This window comes from Homo sapiens, chromosome 5 (assembly GCF_000001405.40).
Source record: "Homo sapiens chromosome 5, GRCh38.p14 Primary Assembly".
Classification (NCBI taxonomy): domain Eukaryota; kingdom Metazoa; phylum Chordata; class Mammalia; order Primates; family Hominidae; genus Homo; species Homo sapiens.
This window is the reverse complement of record NC_000005.10, coordinates 135,926,425-135,943,895: the sequence shown is the minus strand read 5'-3', so window position 1 is coordinate 135,943,895 and position 17,471 is coordinate 135,926,425. Positions and strand designations below refer to the sequence as shown.

The following is a 17,471-nucleotide window of genomic DNA, read 5'->3' as shown; positions in this document are numbered from 1 at the left end:
CTTCAGAATGTCCACCACTGCTCTGATCCCCAACTCCATCTCTGTTAAGCTATTTCTTTTGTTTGTCCTGTTATCCTAATCAGGTTTTGTTTCATTTTGTTTTGTTTTGTTTTGTTATGAGATGGAGTCTTGCTCTGTTGCCCAGGCTGGAATGCAGTGGCATGATCCCGGCTCACTGCAACCTCCGTCTCCTGGGTTCAAGCAATTCTCCTGCCTCAGCCTCCCAAGTAGCTGGAACTACAGGCGACCACCACCAACCCACGCTAATTTTTGTATTTTTAGTAGAACGGGGTTTCACCATATTGGCCAGGCTGGTCTCAAACTCCTGACCTTGTGATCCACCTGCCTCGGCCTCCCAAAGTGCTGGAATTACAGGCGTGAGCCACCACACCTGGCCCCTAATCAGGTTTTAAGTCCTGTATTATATGATGCTTCTGTATCCTCCTGAAATCTTAAAGTATAAATTGTATTATCTGTAATTGTAGTACCATCCCCGTCCTCAAGAAATTGGTTTTATTTTTTTTAACCAGTAAAATCAGCTCCACTAGCATTTATGGAGTAATTACTAATGTAGCAATACTGCTCTGAGAGGGAGGAACACATAGGTAGATATGAGAAGCCTTACAGAGCTTATAGTGAGAAATAACATGGCACAGTGGTGAGAATGTACACACAAACATAGTCTCTAAATACAGGGATATGAAAGTGCTATTTTTTAAACTGCCATTTACACATCACAATGTATTCTAATTGCTTAATAGGTAAAAATACTTATAATTTTTTCCTAATATTCCAAACTGGAAAGTGATGAACATATTTAATTCTCTCTTTTTATTTTAATTGATTTATTCAAAATTTAAGATACTGTGGGGCAAACTGAGTGGAACAAGCTTGAAAACCAAAGTACTTACGTAAAATTTATTGAGTGCTTACTACGTGCTAACCACTAGCATGGCAGATTCTGGGGATAAAACAGTGAGCAAAAAACAGCAAGGATATTGCACTGATGGAGTTTACAGTGCAATGGAACAAACAGGTAATAATCAGACCAGTAAGTAATGAATTATAACAGGGATAAGTGCCGCACAGTAAAGCCAGGGTGCTGAGTGCCCTGCACAGAGTGCACATCGTGGACCTGACCTAAGAGCAGGGAATGGGCTGGGTGTCCAGGAAGGCTTCCATGATCAAGGACATACAGCTAGAGGAAAGATCTGAGGAGCACAGAGAGTAAGCCAGGCAAAGAGAGATACGAGTGAATTCCTTGTGACTAGAGGGTGCAGGACAGTTCTAAGGAACTGAGAGGAAATGGGAACTGAAGGGCAAGGGGCAGCTTGATGGGAAATGAGGCAAAAGAAGCAGGGAGGGACCAGACCTTGCAGGACCTTGTGGGTTATTTTAAGGCTAGATCTTCACCCTCAAGACAATAAGCAGCCACTAAGGAGTTCTAACTGTGTTGCTAATTAAATTCTAAGATCACTTATACAAAGGATCTGGCACAGTTCCAGATCCATAGCAGGAGGCAGCAAATGCTGATTCCCTCCCAAACACATCCTGCAACATTTACTGCTTTATTCAAATAGTCTACCAACTAACAATCAGAATGACTATCTCTTGTCTTTTCACCTCAGTATCATTATGAAATGAATTAGTATTTTTAAATTTTAATCGAATGTCCATTATCTCTCAATATAATAAAGTAGAATCTGAAGTACTTTGGAAATTAGAAGTTTTTTACTGAATCACAAGATGATCTCATAGGGTGCTAAAAATGTTATAGTTAAATAAGCTTTAAAATATTTTATATTTTATAAAATATATTAATACCAAGATAAAATAGAATCAAATAAAACAATGTAATAAAGCAAATGACATAACTTTACAGAATCCAAGTTCAATATTACACACTTACTTAGCAAGCTACAATATGCCTCCAAGGAAAGGTGAGAAATCTACTTAGAAACCATCTGTAGTTTTTGGCATATCGACCATCTAATCCATATACAGGGCTTGTGCCCTATTTACAGCAATTTCTTGCTTTTCAAATTTCTTATTTTTTTCCAAATGTTTCTGCAGCAATCCATCACGACAGTTTGCAAACAATCAAATATTTGACCTAAAATACAGCAGCAACACATTTTAAAATTTACATTTGCTTAGATAGAAAGCAGCTAATCATACTGATTAAAAAAACAACAACAACAATTTCAGAATCTTTGGCAGCCCATTACCAGAGAGGCATCACATCAGGGAACCATACTCTTCCCAGGTATTTGGAGACTTCAGTGTGAATTTCATCTAGGCTATAATCCTCATCAGGGATCAAAACTTCCTCCATTACAGAGAGCTGTGTTAACCTTCTCTCACACAGTCTTACAAACCTGATGAAGGCACTGCAGCTAACTTCACATTTGCTGAGGCCCAAGGCTGTTAGGTTTGTACAGTGTTCAGCAATACAAATAAGTTCATTATCAAGAGGCTGAAGATCATTAGCACACACCACTAACTCAATCAGTCGAGGACAGTTGAGACCTACCCGTCCTAAAACCACTTTGCTGACTGAACGACCAAAATAAAGGTGAGTAACAGGGGTTTCTTCTTTGAAGAACGTCTCGAATTCCTCTTCATATAGAAAGAAGTGCATAACAACATTAACTCTAGGGGAATGTTTAATAAGTGCATCCCAACTGTGTTTTTTAACAGCATGAAATTTAATCTGTCCAGGATTTTCACTCACAACATCAATTCGAAGATGTTCAAGGTTAACATGAGTCTCGCTTGAGAGTGCAAGGAAAAGTTCATCAGTTAGGATGTAATAATTCAACGCCAGTTCTCTAAGGCCTTGACAACGGTCAGCTACACAAAGAATTCCTGTGGGAAGTTGGGAAAAATTCTCAAGAACAAAGAATCATACTGATCCTAATATAATATTTTGTAAATTTAAATTTAATATTAATTATTCATTATTTGTGAAAATAGCTATCTAATAACAACTTCTGAGAGCATGGCTGCCAGGAGGTATTATGTATATAATGAAAAGCATATGTATATATGTAAAATTAAAATATCTCAGGAGAAACTTACTATAACTATACCTACCTTGCAGATTAAGAAATCTTTTGAAAAAACTTAAATAATTTATGCTTCATAGGTATATAATTTTCAAAAGGAAATTGCATCTTTATAGTTATTGTAATAAAAATATCATATCATTCTAGCTTTAAAAAATGTAACCCATCATCAGATGAAACATGAGGACAGCTACTCATCTTTGGGAGTCTTAGAGTGTCACTATTATTGGCCACAAGAATCTTCAATGAAGGATCATCCACTGGTGTATCTTCAATTTTGATTGATGATAATGATTTTGAGTTGATAAAAACAACTGTAAGTGCTGACACAAAATGAGACTTGCATGGCAATAAGAAAAAATTATGAAAACATTATTTTAAAATGTACAGCTTTAAGTAATTCATTAAAACTATATCAATACATGCTAATGATAACATAGTAAGAACCATGAACATACGGCTGTTTCCACAGAATCATTTTCTAGTAGAAGATATTTTTATAATGAAGTATAGTTTTATACTTTTTATAATTGATAAATGAAATAGTGAGAAAAAAAAGCTTCAAAGATTTCATAAAACATGTCTTCCAATTACTTCAATTAAGGATTTGGTTTTCAATATTAGAAGGACATGATTATTGTATATTTATTTCCTAGAACAGGGGTTGGTAGATTACAGACAACTTGCCAAATCCAGCCCATGGTCTGCTTCTGTATGGCTCACTAAGAATGCCTTTTGTATTTTTAAATGGTTGGAAAAATTTTTTAAAGAATAATATTTTATGACATGAAATAAACTTGAATTTCAGTGTCCCTAAATACAGTCTGATGGGAACACAGCCATGCCCTTTATTTAAATATTGTCTGTGTCTGCTTTCAGACTCCAGTGTTAGAGTTGAGTAGTCACAGCGTAACTACTTGGCCCCCAAAGCCTGAAATATTTGCTATCTGAGTATTTTTGACCCCTGCCCTAGAAGAAACAGAATTTTTATCTGATTTATCCACTCCCGTATCTCTAGCACCTAAAATAGTATCTGGCACATAGCACGGCAAATGGATGATAAAAATTTGTTGAATGAATAAATGAGGTTTTAATTCATTTTATAAGATTTCACAATCTTCAGTGACATGCTTTTCCTAGCCAATTATCCAAAGTAAATCCAAGTCGTATATGCTTTGAAGACTGACAGACTAAAGCTTACTTCTAGTTTGATCTGAAAATGAGTAGAATTTCAGAAATTTTCAGATTCAGTATTTTTTGGCAAAGATAGAAAGTCTGGAAACCAAATCTGTACATGATCACTTTTCCCTTTTTAAAATCAATCAATTTGGATTCTACCAAAGGTTCTATTATGCCTAACAGAATGACCAAATTGGTTATAAATGTTCATTAATTTATAAGAAAACATATTGATTTATACTAATTGTAAACCGGTTTGCACATATTTTCAAATGGTACAAGGCTAAACTTCTTCTGTAAATTTTATGGTGCCAAAATTATTAGGGGAATATAAATACAAGGTTTAGTTTCCCTTTAATCAATTGTCAACTGACTGCTTTAGTCCTGAAGGACGACTTTAAAAAACATTAGAGTACATATTTCATTATAATAGCAACATATTAGTTTAGTACTATTTATGCTTAGCAAAATGCTATACTTTTATTTTTCCTTAGTTAACAGATTAAAAAAACTGAGTCTCAGAGAGATCTGTGGTCTTGCCAGAAGCCACAGAGATTACTTTAAACAGTAGAGGCAGAGCTTGAAATGAAGCTTGCTAATTAATTCCTGGTATCTAGCTCTGGTGACTGCATCAGCTAACCTAGAAGCTGGCCCTGGAAGCTGATGTGCAACATTAGAGACAGCTTTTAGAATATAAGAAGAATTTCAGGGTAATCGGATTCTGTAGTTCATAAACAAGGAAATAACTAGAAGTGGTAAATTTCATCAGATTACTTACATTACTCTAATCCCTAAATGACCCATTTTTTTTCAGCACATCCCTTTAGAAGATAAACAGGCCAGCAAAAATACTTGCTAGAAGAGTGCCATGACTCAGTTTATAAGAGAGAGGCTGCTATTCCTCTATCCTCCTCCATAGGAAAATTTCCATTAGCCAGCTTTACCAACTACCATAATTTAATGCCTATCATATATCAGGTACTATTCTGACTCTGGGTTTATAATGGTAAACAAAATAGAATCTCTGCCTTCAATGAGTTTATGTTTGGTATAAGGAGAAGAGAATAAACACATTAAATAAATAAGGTGGTTTCAAGTACTGATGAATGACATGAAGAAGATAAAAATAATGTAATGGTAGAGTACATTATTACTGGAGCAGGAGGTGCCATTTTCACAATGGTTAAGGGGGGGCTCTCCAAGGAGATGGCATTCAGGTTGAAGCCTGAATGAGGAGAATACGGTATGAGTTTCTATGGCAGAGCGTGGCTGGCTGCTTGCTGGCAACCATTTTTCCTTTGTTTGTTAATCCAGTCCCAATTTTTAGCTGGGCACACTGCCACCCAGCTCAAAGATTCCCCAGACTCCCTGGAATCTGGTGTGGCCAGACTTAGAGGTAAACAGAAACACTGTGTGGTACTTACGGGTAGTCTCCTTGATAAGGAGAAGGCACACCCTTCTTCCCCCATTTCTAACATCCTAGCCCCCAGAGCAAGGATGTGATGGTCAGAGCTCAGATGGTCATCTTGAAGAAACACCCTGGAGAGAGTGGAGTGGCTGGAAGAAACCTAGGTTCCTACCACCTTCATACCAGCTATGGACTGTCTCACCTATCAATTTCTTTAATGTGAGAGAAATATACTTTGATCATGTTTTTAAACCACTTTTGTTTTGGAGTTTCTACTGCATGAATGTAAACATCATGCTAACAAGCGTAGTTCATTTAGTTAAATATTATATTGTTCCACCTCCAAAAGACAGGCCACAGAATCACAGGAAAAACACCCACTATTGCCTCTACATGCTCTATGTTCAAAGTAACTACATAAATTGTTATTTAAGTAGAATAAGCACAATATCCAAATTTTATATTAATGACACTGTGGTAACCATGACTACAGTTACAAAATATATCTAAAGAATGAAAACATGCATAAACTATTTTTGCAAAAATAAGTGCTAGTCAACAGAAAACAGCTTTAAATAATACTTTGAATACAAATAGGAGATGGTCTGTCTTTAGGAAAAAAATGGCTTTTGCCTAGTTTGGCAGTCTTTAGGGATTTTAGTATAGCTCACCAAAAACGCATAATATCCTTACCTCCGACACATTCATGAAACTTGGCTTGGCTGTTGAAATCAAGCCCAAGGTCTGGATGGAACAATTTACCAGCTGAGAGAGTATATCACAGGCAGCTTCTGCTGACTCAGCGCTACTGTCAACCTAGACAGACAATTTTTAATCTCGAATAATTTCCTGAAGATAATTTATCAGAAATACTGGCAATGTAATTATTTAGTAGAATTCAGTTGCAAAATTTTATTCATTCCTTTGAGCTATCATATAAATGAGTATTTTTTCTTCATACAAAATGTCTGAGATGATAAAACGAAAAACAGAGATGATGACAAATTAGCTTTCCAAGCAGTTCATATTTTCAAATCTTTTACAATTACCTGAATTTTAATAACAGCATACAAATGATGGAAACTGCATTTTAAGTTTTTCAATTACGGTTCAAGTTCTACACTTCAATCGATGCAAATAACTGCAGAAAAACAGGAAACCTCTTTGGATAAAATGATTTGCAAAATTCACTGACTGCCTCAAAATAAGGCTCTAGATATACAAAAGCATTGTTAACGAAATGTAAGTCATGGTTTCCATTTAATGCTTATTTTTCTTACCTTAAAGCTGACATACTGAAGATGAGCAAAATGCTTTTTAATGATCTGCTGAATGAGATCAGGATGAGTGGACTTAAAAGATGAAGTAGCTGACTGGTTCAGTTCAAATTCAAACTTTCTCCAAAGGTCAGAAATATGAAAAACTTCATTCCACCTCCTACATACAGAAGATGCACAGGCCCGATCTAGTAAAGGAAGTTACTGAAAAATTTGTAATACTACATGGTGAGGCAAACTCCCCCAGTCTAGAAGAACCGTGTGTGTATGAGTCTGGTTGAGAGAAGAGTAGAACCCAACTTTTGGCTGTTTCGCTGCTCCTGACAACTGGACAATTTTATTCTCAACAGATAAACTGTTCCTCTTCATTCTGTAAACATTAGAAAATGTTCAGTTTCTGATAGTTTTTTCACATTTCCACCAAATATTGGCACTCTAACTGTACAGAATAACATTAGAAAATGAAAAATTGTTTAATACAATTTTAGTAGGTATCTTCCACTTTCATGCATGGATAGGTGCTACCTCATGCTGGGGATACAGAGATAAATAAGTACAAACCTGTTCTCAAAGAGCTATGGTAAAATGGTGAAATACAGTGATAAATGCTATGACCAAAGTTGGGACAAGTTTCAACAGAAGGAAAAGAGGATGCATGTGATTGAGTTTGTGTGTGGAAGAGGTGGCTTGGGAGGCTTCCAGGAGGAAATGTCCAAGGAAGCAGTGTATGTCCCAAGTTTTTTTTTTCCTAGTCAATTATTGTATTTTATCTCTTTCAAAGAAGGAAGTATCACATTGCGATTGTCCTTAAAAAAAAAAAAAAACATGGGAGGTCTGGGAGATAGTAAAACACAATTAAAAGCATAGGTCTAGATAAGTCCCTACTCTGCTACTTACTAACCATATGATCTTGTCAGAACAAATTACTCTAAGCCTCAGTTTCCTCATCTCCAACAAGAAAAGTACCTATATGATCATTGTGAGTATTAAAGTGCCAGCAGATAGTTTAGTTGCAGTCTGTGTTGCTATATTAAATTGTCCAGTGCAGTTTTCTGAACTGTTTTCATTACTTAAGTCAAAGCACAATTCTAACAAAAACTCAAATGATCTGCAACAATTTTCAGACGACAGCCAGGACACAGGAGCTCAGAGAAGTTAGATATGGCAGGGACAAAGTCTTAGTTCAAGCAACACACCTGATCCTCTCCAGTAAAGCAGACAGGGAATGAGCATTCTTACCCTCCAAACAGAAATGATGAATCTCTAGGTATTAGCCAGCTTGGGACGCAATTAAGTTCCAGCAAATTTGAAGTCCAGATACGTCCAAGTATATATGGTCATCTTGTACGTATATTTTATGTAAGAATACAAAGTATTTTAAGTATACAATTATTTGAAAGGCAAAATAATGGTAAGAGTGGTTCTGAACTTTATTGAACTTTGGTTAACTATATAACCCTCCTTTAACCCCTGCAATGTTAGGAATGTACACATGAAAGATTCAGTGTCATAATTGAAACATACCTTGAAATCTAATAAAATATTTATGTGATAGGTAAATATCTCTGTCTTGTGATTCACTCTGTCTGATGTGACACATTTCTTAAGCACAACATAGAGTTGGATCCCAGAAGCAGGAATGACCTATAAAGTCATTGAACAAAATGAAAAATCATCTTTAGGGTTTGGAAAATTGAAATGAAAAGCAAAAATAGTTACAAAGCTGCATCTCAAGCATCAGGCAAAAGAGCTACTACACACATTTCAGTCTGACTAAACCAGTTACATGCATGACTTAGGCCCTGTCCAGCAGTACTACGTAGACTATGTGAAACTGCTGACTACCAAGAATTCAAAGCATGTGCTATTTTAAAAGGCCCGATCTACTACTCTTCAATGCTAACTCCTTAATGCTGTAAGGTACAAGAACAGATGCTGGATTCTAAACTCTGATGTGGAGCACAGTCATTGACATTTTGCTTGCAACCGTTTCATTTGGAAATCAACAAAATGGATAAATTTTCACTAAGTTTTTATAAAGAAGTTACCCTTAATAGAATCCTTTACTTGAAAACCAGTGATGCTAACATAAAACAAAGACATCACTCAAATGCCAGGTTAGAAAACTACCTTGCAGTCCTTAACAGAGGGACTGTGCTATATATTAAATCTCATTGTATGTGGCATGGATTGTTAAAATTATTTAATGATATCATTAAATTGCCAATTCACTGATAGTAGAATTGCAATAAGTAATTTAAGGTATTATATTAATACCAGTAACTTGTTAAAAATAATATTTTAATTTTTTTTAAGTTGTGTAATCTTCCGAGCATAAAGATTATGCTCATCCACAAATCAAACACTTCATATGATTTTATAGCTATGTACATTGTAAAATATATTTTAGACAAATTGATCTTTATTAGCTTGAAAACGTTAATCTAAACATTCTAGCTTAAAGATATGTGACCATTTAAAAAGTCGATCATTTCTTTTTCAAGCTTTTCTTACCTAAGGAAGGCTTCCAGATTAGAGTTCACTCTGAACCATGAAACGAAGCAATGGTTGCCGTGGGGTACTCACCAACCTCCATTTGATTTCACTTCCTATCTTGGTGAAATACCACAAAAACACATTCATCAGAATACATAAATAAACATTCAATAATTTCTATGCTTAGGCTCTTTATATATCACTCTATATATTGAAGGATTTTGTTAGAAATTATTGATTCTGAAACTATTTTTTGTTGTTGTTCATTGATGAAACCTTGTCTCTACTAAAAATACAAAAATTAGCCAGGCATAGCGGCGGGTGCCTGTAGTCCCAGCTACTTGGGAGGCTGAGGCAGGAGAATGGAGTGAACCCGGGAGGCGGAGCTTGCAGTGAGCAGAGATTGCACCACTGCACGCCAGCCTGGGTGACAGAGCGAGACTCCGTATCAAAGAAAAAAAAAAAAAAACCACGCAAAAAAACCTAGCCCTGCCGGGCGTGGTGGCTCACATCTGTAATCCCAACACTTTGCGAGGCCGAGGCAGGTGCACCATTTGAGGTCAGGAGTTCAAGACCAGCCTGGCCAACATGGTGAAACCCCATTTCTAAAATTAAAAAAACTTTTTAAAATTTTTTAAAATACAAAAATACAAAAATTAGCTGAGTGTTAGTGGCGCATGCCTGTAATCCCAGCTACTTGGGAGGCTGAGGCAGGAAGGCAGCGGTTGCGGTGAGCTGAGATCACACCACTGCACTCCAGTCTGGGCAACAGAGTGAGACCCTGTCTTAAAAACAAAAACAAAACAAAGTAAAACAAAACAAAAACAAAACAAATTCCAAAAAATTAGCATGGTTAGTGGAAATCTTGTTATGATTCCCAGGAATTATTCTTGAGGCTTTACCAAGGCTATGGATCAAAGAGTGAATGGACTCTGAGAATCTGTATTTTAATTAATGTCTATAGAGAGATACTACAAAAAATGTGAGGGAATTCATGACTACAATTATCTGTTTACAGGCTGTGTAAATCTTCCAGTTCCAGATTTTAGTAGCACATAATACCACCACAGTTATAGTAAAGAGGCAGACATGAGTGATTTTTATTATTTTATCATTCCCATATGAATATAGTTGGACTAGTCTGCTGTTAATAGAATATATGCTTCATATTTAAAAATCATTTCATATATATTGATAGAGATGGCATTGATTCAGTCATACTCTTTGAGGTTTGCCAAATTTCAGGAAAATGACTTGTCAGAGCTAGCAGGAAAGTCTATGGAAACTGAAGAAAATAGTAATATAGGTCTACAGCAGGATAAAACTCACACCCTTGGCATCATGAATAAATGTCGTAAGGTAAACATAAATAAATACATTCTACTACTTTTGTAAACCAAACTCAACTACACAGAGGAGTTAAACATGGCAACCTATTAATTTACTAAACAGTTCCCTTAAACCTCTACTGTCTACCCCCTGTTAATTTTCCATTTCTCTCTGAATCCAACTCCTAAAGCAGAACTGGGGAGGACAGGCTAGGGGAATGTATTTGAGCTCACGATCTACCATTTGATTTCCTCACTGCCACCAGCTGTTACACTGTTTTCCAGATAATGTCACGGTTGGCTGTCCTTCCTTTATTCCAGATGTAGAGGGAAAGGAACTCCAGGGCACACTTTCAGTGAAACACCAAAAATAAAAGACAAGTCGAGTTACTAGTTAACTCAAATCAGATGACACACAATTTTATTTACTGCAGAAACTTTTCTCCTGAGTTACACTTATGGCTAATTTCTGTGCCAATAGGCCATTCTTCATGTGAGAATACTGACATAATACTGACATATCAATAGGGAGTTGCTACCCAAGACCAGTAAGAAGATGGTGCACCACTACCTATCTCAGATCAGTTCACTGAAGTCTTCCGAATCAGATGAATTACTTCCCTGGTTGCTGAAGGAACATGATGGCTCTCATAGTCACGAGAATTTTGAGGACAGGTAGGGAACAAAACCAGAATACAGGACTCCATCAAGTGATAAGCCATTCTTCCAAAAAGGGAGAAAAGAGCAAGCTGGACACGGATCTTCAGCACAATTCCAGAGTATGAAACAAGTTTATTAGCATTGAGGAGCTCCACTAACCACCTTAACTCAAATGCCTTTTTTGATGTGTTTTCTAATTTGGTAGATCAGGTGACTACGTGAATGGGATCCTCTAGAAGTATCTAAGAGATTGCCACAGTATTCTTGAGGGCAAGATTATCAAAGAAGATGAGATGAAGACTGTCTGAACATCCACAGCCAACTCACTAAAGGCCATGGAAGCAGCTCTCTTCTGCACCATCACTAGGTTCTTCCAGATTGGTGAAATGAATACCCAGAAGTGACTTTCAACAGTTTCAAGTTTTCAGTGATCACAACAATAGAAATAATAGGTGAATACCACAGATAACAGAACATAGATGCAAAATTATCTGAAAAGGGTGGACAAATTTGTTGGGAGCAGCAAAAGTAAAGGGAAATAATTATTAAATGTCCTTTATTTAATCTCCTTCCTAAAGTTTCATGATAAGCAATCAGATTGTTGCCCCAGGCAGACGGTCCGTGTTAAGGAGCCTGGAATCCTACTCACCAGTGCAAGGGCAGGGGAAGCATGGCCTGGACAGGAGGGCTGAAGCCTCGCGCTCCAAAACACGTAAAAACACACAGTTTTCCAACAAAAGAATGGAGCAACACCTCTTTCTACTAAATATAATCCAAGCAAAGGACAAAACATAATTTGTTGGAGACGTTGTCAAACAGATTTATGTACTTTGCAGCCCATAAGACTCTAAGTTCCCTTCTAAGTCTAAAAGTTACAATTCTTTTTAAAATATCAAATCAAATAAAAATATCACCGAGATATTAAGGAGACAAAACATGAAAAATATTTATGTCAAATATTTCCTAAAGCAGTGGTTGCCATCTTTGCAGTGTTCTGGCATTTTGTCACTGGTTTAGCAATTTTCTACACTCAAGTCTCTCTGTGGTACTAGGACATATCTACTTAAAAAGAAAATTTTTACTTCCTAATAAACATAATATGTATGCTTATTTTTAAATAAATCATATGAAAACTGAAGTTTTCCAAATATATGTAGATTGAAAACACCTTTGGAGACGCAAGGGACAAAGCTGAACTGGGCAGTTTGTGAAAATCCCTGAATGGGGGGCGCCTAGGGCATCTGTTTCTCTCTCCACATCGACCCCAAAGTCGCGTCTCTCCGACTCTGGAAGCGAAAAGCGAGCGGACAGCAAGCCAGGCCCTCCGCGGGGAGGCCTTCCGAGCCAGGGAGAGCCCGCCTCCGGATGGGCATTCTAAGGGGGCTAACAACGAACACAGGTGTTTCCAGAAATCATTTCTGCAAGATTTTTCTGGGAGAAAACAATCATCATTTCTTATTCAATTTATCTTGGAAGCGTCTTAAAAGGCACACTCGCCAAAGACAAAGACGGTACACCTTAAAGCGCACAGGTGAGCGCTTTCAGCTCGCCAGAAGGCTACTTTTTGACATTTGTGGCAACTATAAACTCCGGTGAACTTAACTGCAAGCAGTCATGCAAAAAGCAACCTCGGGTAGCACTGATCACTGGACGAACGCCGCCCTTTCTAGGCTCACTCCACCGAAGAGCCAGACGCGCGGCTCATGGGGTGGCCGGGTGGGCGCCCGGCACTGCAGAAACCCAGCCCAGCGAGAAAGCGGACGCCCGGGGGCTGCGAGTCCTCACTGGCGGCCCGAGCCAGGCCCCGCTCACCCCGGCTTCGGGGGCGGCCGGGCCCGGGCCGCGGGAGGGGTCGCTCCAGGGGGCGCTCAGCCGCCCGAGACCGCCCCGACGTGGCCCAGGGCGCGAGCGCACGCCTCCCGGGCCCAAAGAGCGAGCCCATTCCGCCCCACGTCGCCACCGCCGGCGGTGCCCCCGCGACACCCGAAAAATGTGCTACCTTTAAAGGGTTTCCGCGCGTGCTCAGCGTTCGCGGGCCGGGCCAAGGTGCTGGAGTCCGGCCGTCCGGTCGGCGCAGGAACACGCCCGAGCGAGGCCGGCTCCGCGCACTGGAGGCACAGGAGCGCCTAGGCACGGGGGTCCGCGCAGACCGCAGCCGCCCAAGGCCCCGCCCCGCCTGGCCCCGCCTCGCGCCCGCTCCTCAAAGGCCGCCTCCCCCAGCAGGCCGCGGCGATGGCGCCCACCTGGCGCAGCACCAAGTCACGCACGGCGATCTGAGACCCCAGCCGCTCCTCCCGCAGGGGCGGCGGTTCCGGGAGCGCCCCTTAGGTGGCATGTGGGAGGCTTCCTGCCTGCTGGTCTTCAGCTAATTCCCCGTGGCCACCTGCCTGTGACTCCACACAGGCATGAGCCAACGCTTGTGGTTTCTGGGACTTACTCCCGATGAAGGGCGCCCCTTTATCAATGCACAAATGCAATGGGGTTTCGTTCTTGTTGCCCAGGCTGGAGTGCAATGGCGCAATATTGGCTCACTGCAACCTCTGCCTCCTGGGCTCAAGCGATTCTCCTGCCTCAGCCTCCCAAATAGCTGGGATTACAGGCATGCACCACCATGTCTGGCTAATTTTGTATTTCTAGTAGAGACTGGGTTTCTCTATGTTGGTCAGGCTGGTCTCAAACTCCTGACCTCAGGTGATCCGCCTGCCTTGGCCTCCCAAAGTGCTGGGATTACAGGCATGAGCCACCGTGTCCGGCCTCATTTTCTTTTCTTTCTTTCTTTCTTTCTTTCTTTTTTTTTTTTTTTTTTTTTTTTTTTTTTGAGGTGGAGTCTCGCTCTGTCGCCAGCTGGAGTGCAGTGGCTTGATCTTGGCTCACTGCAAGCTCCGCCTCCTGGATTCAACAGATTCTCCCGCCTCAGCCTCCCGAATAGTTAGGATTACAGGCGTGCTCCACCATGCCCGGCTAAGTTTTTGTATTTTCAGTAGAGACGGGGTTTCACCATGTTGGCCAGGCTCGTCTTGAACTCCTGATCTCAAAGTGATCCACCTGCCTCAGCTTCCCAAAGTGCTGGGATTACAGGCATGAGCCACGGCTCCCGGCCCCAGCCTCATTTTCTTAATGGTGTCTTTTGAAAAGCAGAAGTTTTGATTTTGATGAAATCCAGTTTATCAATTTGTTTTTTTATGGATCATTTGTTTGATGTTAAACTTAAGAAATGTTTGTCTAAGTCAAGGTCACAGTTTCTTTTATATTTTCTTCTACATGGTTTATAGATTTAGATTTTACATTTAGGTCTATGTTCTATTTGAGTTAATGTTTGTGTATGCTGCAAGATAGAAGTCAAGGTTTATTTTTTTCATGTGCAAGTTGTATCCAATTTACCTAGCACCAGTTGTTGAAAAGGCTACTCTTTTTCTCCATTAAATTGCCTTTGCACTTATGTGGGAAATCAGTTGTCCATGTATGTGTAGGTATATTTTCAGACCCTCTGTTCTATTTCGTTAATATATTTTCCCATCTTTACACCAATATCGCACCGTCTTGATTTCTGTAGCTTTATAACAAGTACTTGTATTGAAATCACATAGTTTTAGCCCTCTAACTTGTTCTTCAAAATTGTTTTGTCTATTTTGTCTATTCTAGATTCTTTACATTCCTGTATGATTTTTTTAGAACAAGCTTGTCAATATCTACAAAAATATTGCTGGGATTTTACTGAAGATTGCCTTGAATCTAGAAATCAACTTAGGGAGTATTGGCATCTTTACAATGTTGTGTCTTCGATAAACATGATTGATATAGCGCTCTATTTACTTAGGTCTTCTTTAATTTCTCTCAACAACATTTGCAGTTTTCAGGGTATAAGTCTTACACACATTTTGTCAGGACTATTCTTAGATATTTCATAGTTTTTAAATGTTATGGTAAATAGTATTGTTTTTTAAATTTTAATTTCTATTTGTTTGTTGCCAGTATGAAGACATGCAATTGATTTTTTATATTGGTCTTGTATCCTACAACCTTGCTAAAATCACTTGTCAGTTTTATTAATAGAAATTTTTATTAGAATTTAGTATATTCCATTGGATTTTCTACATAGACAGTCATGTTGTGTGCGAACAAAGACAGTTTTTCTTTCAATATAAAATGCATTTTTATTTTTTTCTTTCCCCATTGCACTATATTGCCGGTACAGTGTTAAATAATTAACATTAATAAAGAGATATATCAATGACATTCATTGGTTTGAAGACTCCGTATTTTTAAGATGTGAATTCTCCCCAAACTGATTTCTACATCAAGGTGAGAACAGACACTTTTGTCTTGTTCCTCATCTAAGAGGGAAAGTGCTTCATCTTTAATCATTGACATATTGCATGGATGTGCATATTGCATAGATGCTCTTCATCAGATTGAGGAACTTCCGTTTTATTCCTCCTTTGCTGAGAATTTTTAGATGAAGAATGGATGTTAGATTTTATGAAGTACTTGTGTGTGTCAATTGAAATAATCTTATTGTTTTCCTTTTTAGTTTATTAAAATGATGGACTACATTGACTGATCTTCAAAAGTTAAACCAACCTTGCATTTCTGGCAAAAGACTTATTTTATCATAATTTATTATCCTTTTTACCTATTGTTTGAGTCAATTTCCTAAAATTTTGTTTAGAATTTCTGCATCTAGGTTCATGGGGGATATTAGATTGTACTTTTCTTTTTTAGTAATATCTTTGTAAAATGTTGATATCAAGTAATACAAGCCTCATAAAGCAAGCTGAGAAGTATTTCCTCCTATTCAATTCTGGAAGAGTCTATATAGAAATGGTATTATTTATTCTGAAATGTTTGGTTGAATTCACCAATAAAGCCATCTGGGTCTGGAGTTTATTTTGTGGGAAGGCTTTTAACCAGAAATTCAATTACTTTAATAAATTTAGGGCTATTTCTTCTATTAGGTTAGTTTATCTATTTCTTCTTAAAGGAGCTTTGGTAGTTTACATCTTTAAATAAATCTATCCATTTCATCTGGATTGTTAAATTGATAGACATAATATTGTTTATAATATTCTCTTATTATTCTTCTAATGTCTGTAGTATCTATAATGATGTCACTCTCTCATTCCTGATGTTGGTCATTTGTATCTACACTATTTTTTATCTCATCAGTCTGGTTTAAGGATTATCAATTTTATTGATCTTCTCCAAGAACCAGCCTTTGGTTTAATTAATTTTCTCTATTATTTTTCCTGTTTTATATTGCATTGGTTTCTGCTGTCATCTTTATTTCCTTTCTTTTGAATTTAAATTGCTATTTATTTTCTAGTTTCTCAGGGTAGAATCTGAGTTCATTGATTTGAGACCTTTCTTCTGTTCTAACATAGGCTTGCAGTGCCATAAATATACCCATAAGTACTGCTTTAGCAGCATATTGTCAACTCCTAAACTCAGGGTGTCCACTAAACTTAGTCTGGATTCCCCCTCTCTGTGTAGCAGACTAGACATTCTTTTAAGGCAATAAAATAAGGGTAATCATAGGACTTATCTCATTTATTTCTTATCTCTTGGAGATCTTTGTCTTTTGTTGCCTGATATCTTGTTTCTCAAAAGTGTTGGGGCTCTGAAAATGACTCCAAAGCGAAGACCTTAGAAGCAGCCTCAAAAGCAAAGTTTCTCTCTGATCTTTTGCCCTTCTATCTCTCACCCCTCATTCTTCCCTGAGGCAAACCATAGAAACTAGAATTCCTCTTCCCCAAGGTAGGTCATAGAAACCAGAACCCTTTTCCCCCAAAGCCAGCCGTAAAACCTAAAAGTGTTGCTCTAACCTTCCTCTGCCTTTTTGGGTAACAGCTGGCTATAAAGAAATTAAGATTCCAGAAGGGTCCTACCCTATACCCAGGAGGAAGAAATGCTACAATATTTCTTCCTCAGGAAGAACCTAATCAGACAGACCTTGCTAGGTTTTTCCCAATCAGCCTATTACCATTAGCTCATAGCCTTTTGTTCATCTAATTACATTTCTATACACTGTCCCTGCTTCATCAAACCTAAACAAAAA

The 17,471-nt window shown here is 38.3% G+C and overlaps 1 pseudogene across 2 annotated transcripts; it reads right to left on the bottom strand.

Moving 5' to 3' along the window:
* Positions 1-1,899: 1,899 nt before the first annotated feature.
* Positions 1,900-13,599, bottom strand: FBXL21P (F-box and leucine rich repeat protein 21, pseudogene; annotated as a pseudogene). 2 transcript variants are annotated; one of them, NR_152421.1, is made up of 6 exons: positions 13,416-13,599; positions 9,447-9,545; positions 8,457-8,576; positions 6,936-7,302; positions 6,349-6,471; positions 1,900-3,407 (listed from the first exon to the last, which is right to left on the bottom strand). The product of NR_152421.1 is annotated as an F-box and leucine rich repeat protein 21, pseudogene, transcript variant 3 (transcript). The 2 variants fall into 2 exon arrangements; NR_152420.1 differs by having other exon boundaries at positions 9,447-9,541.
* Between the last annotated feature and the right edge of the window lie 3,872 nt (positions 13,600-17,471).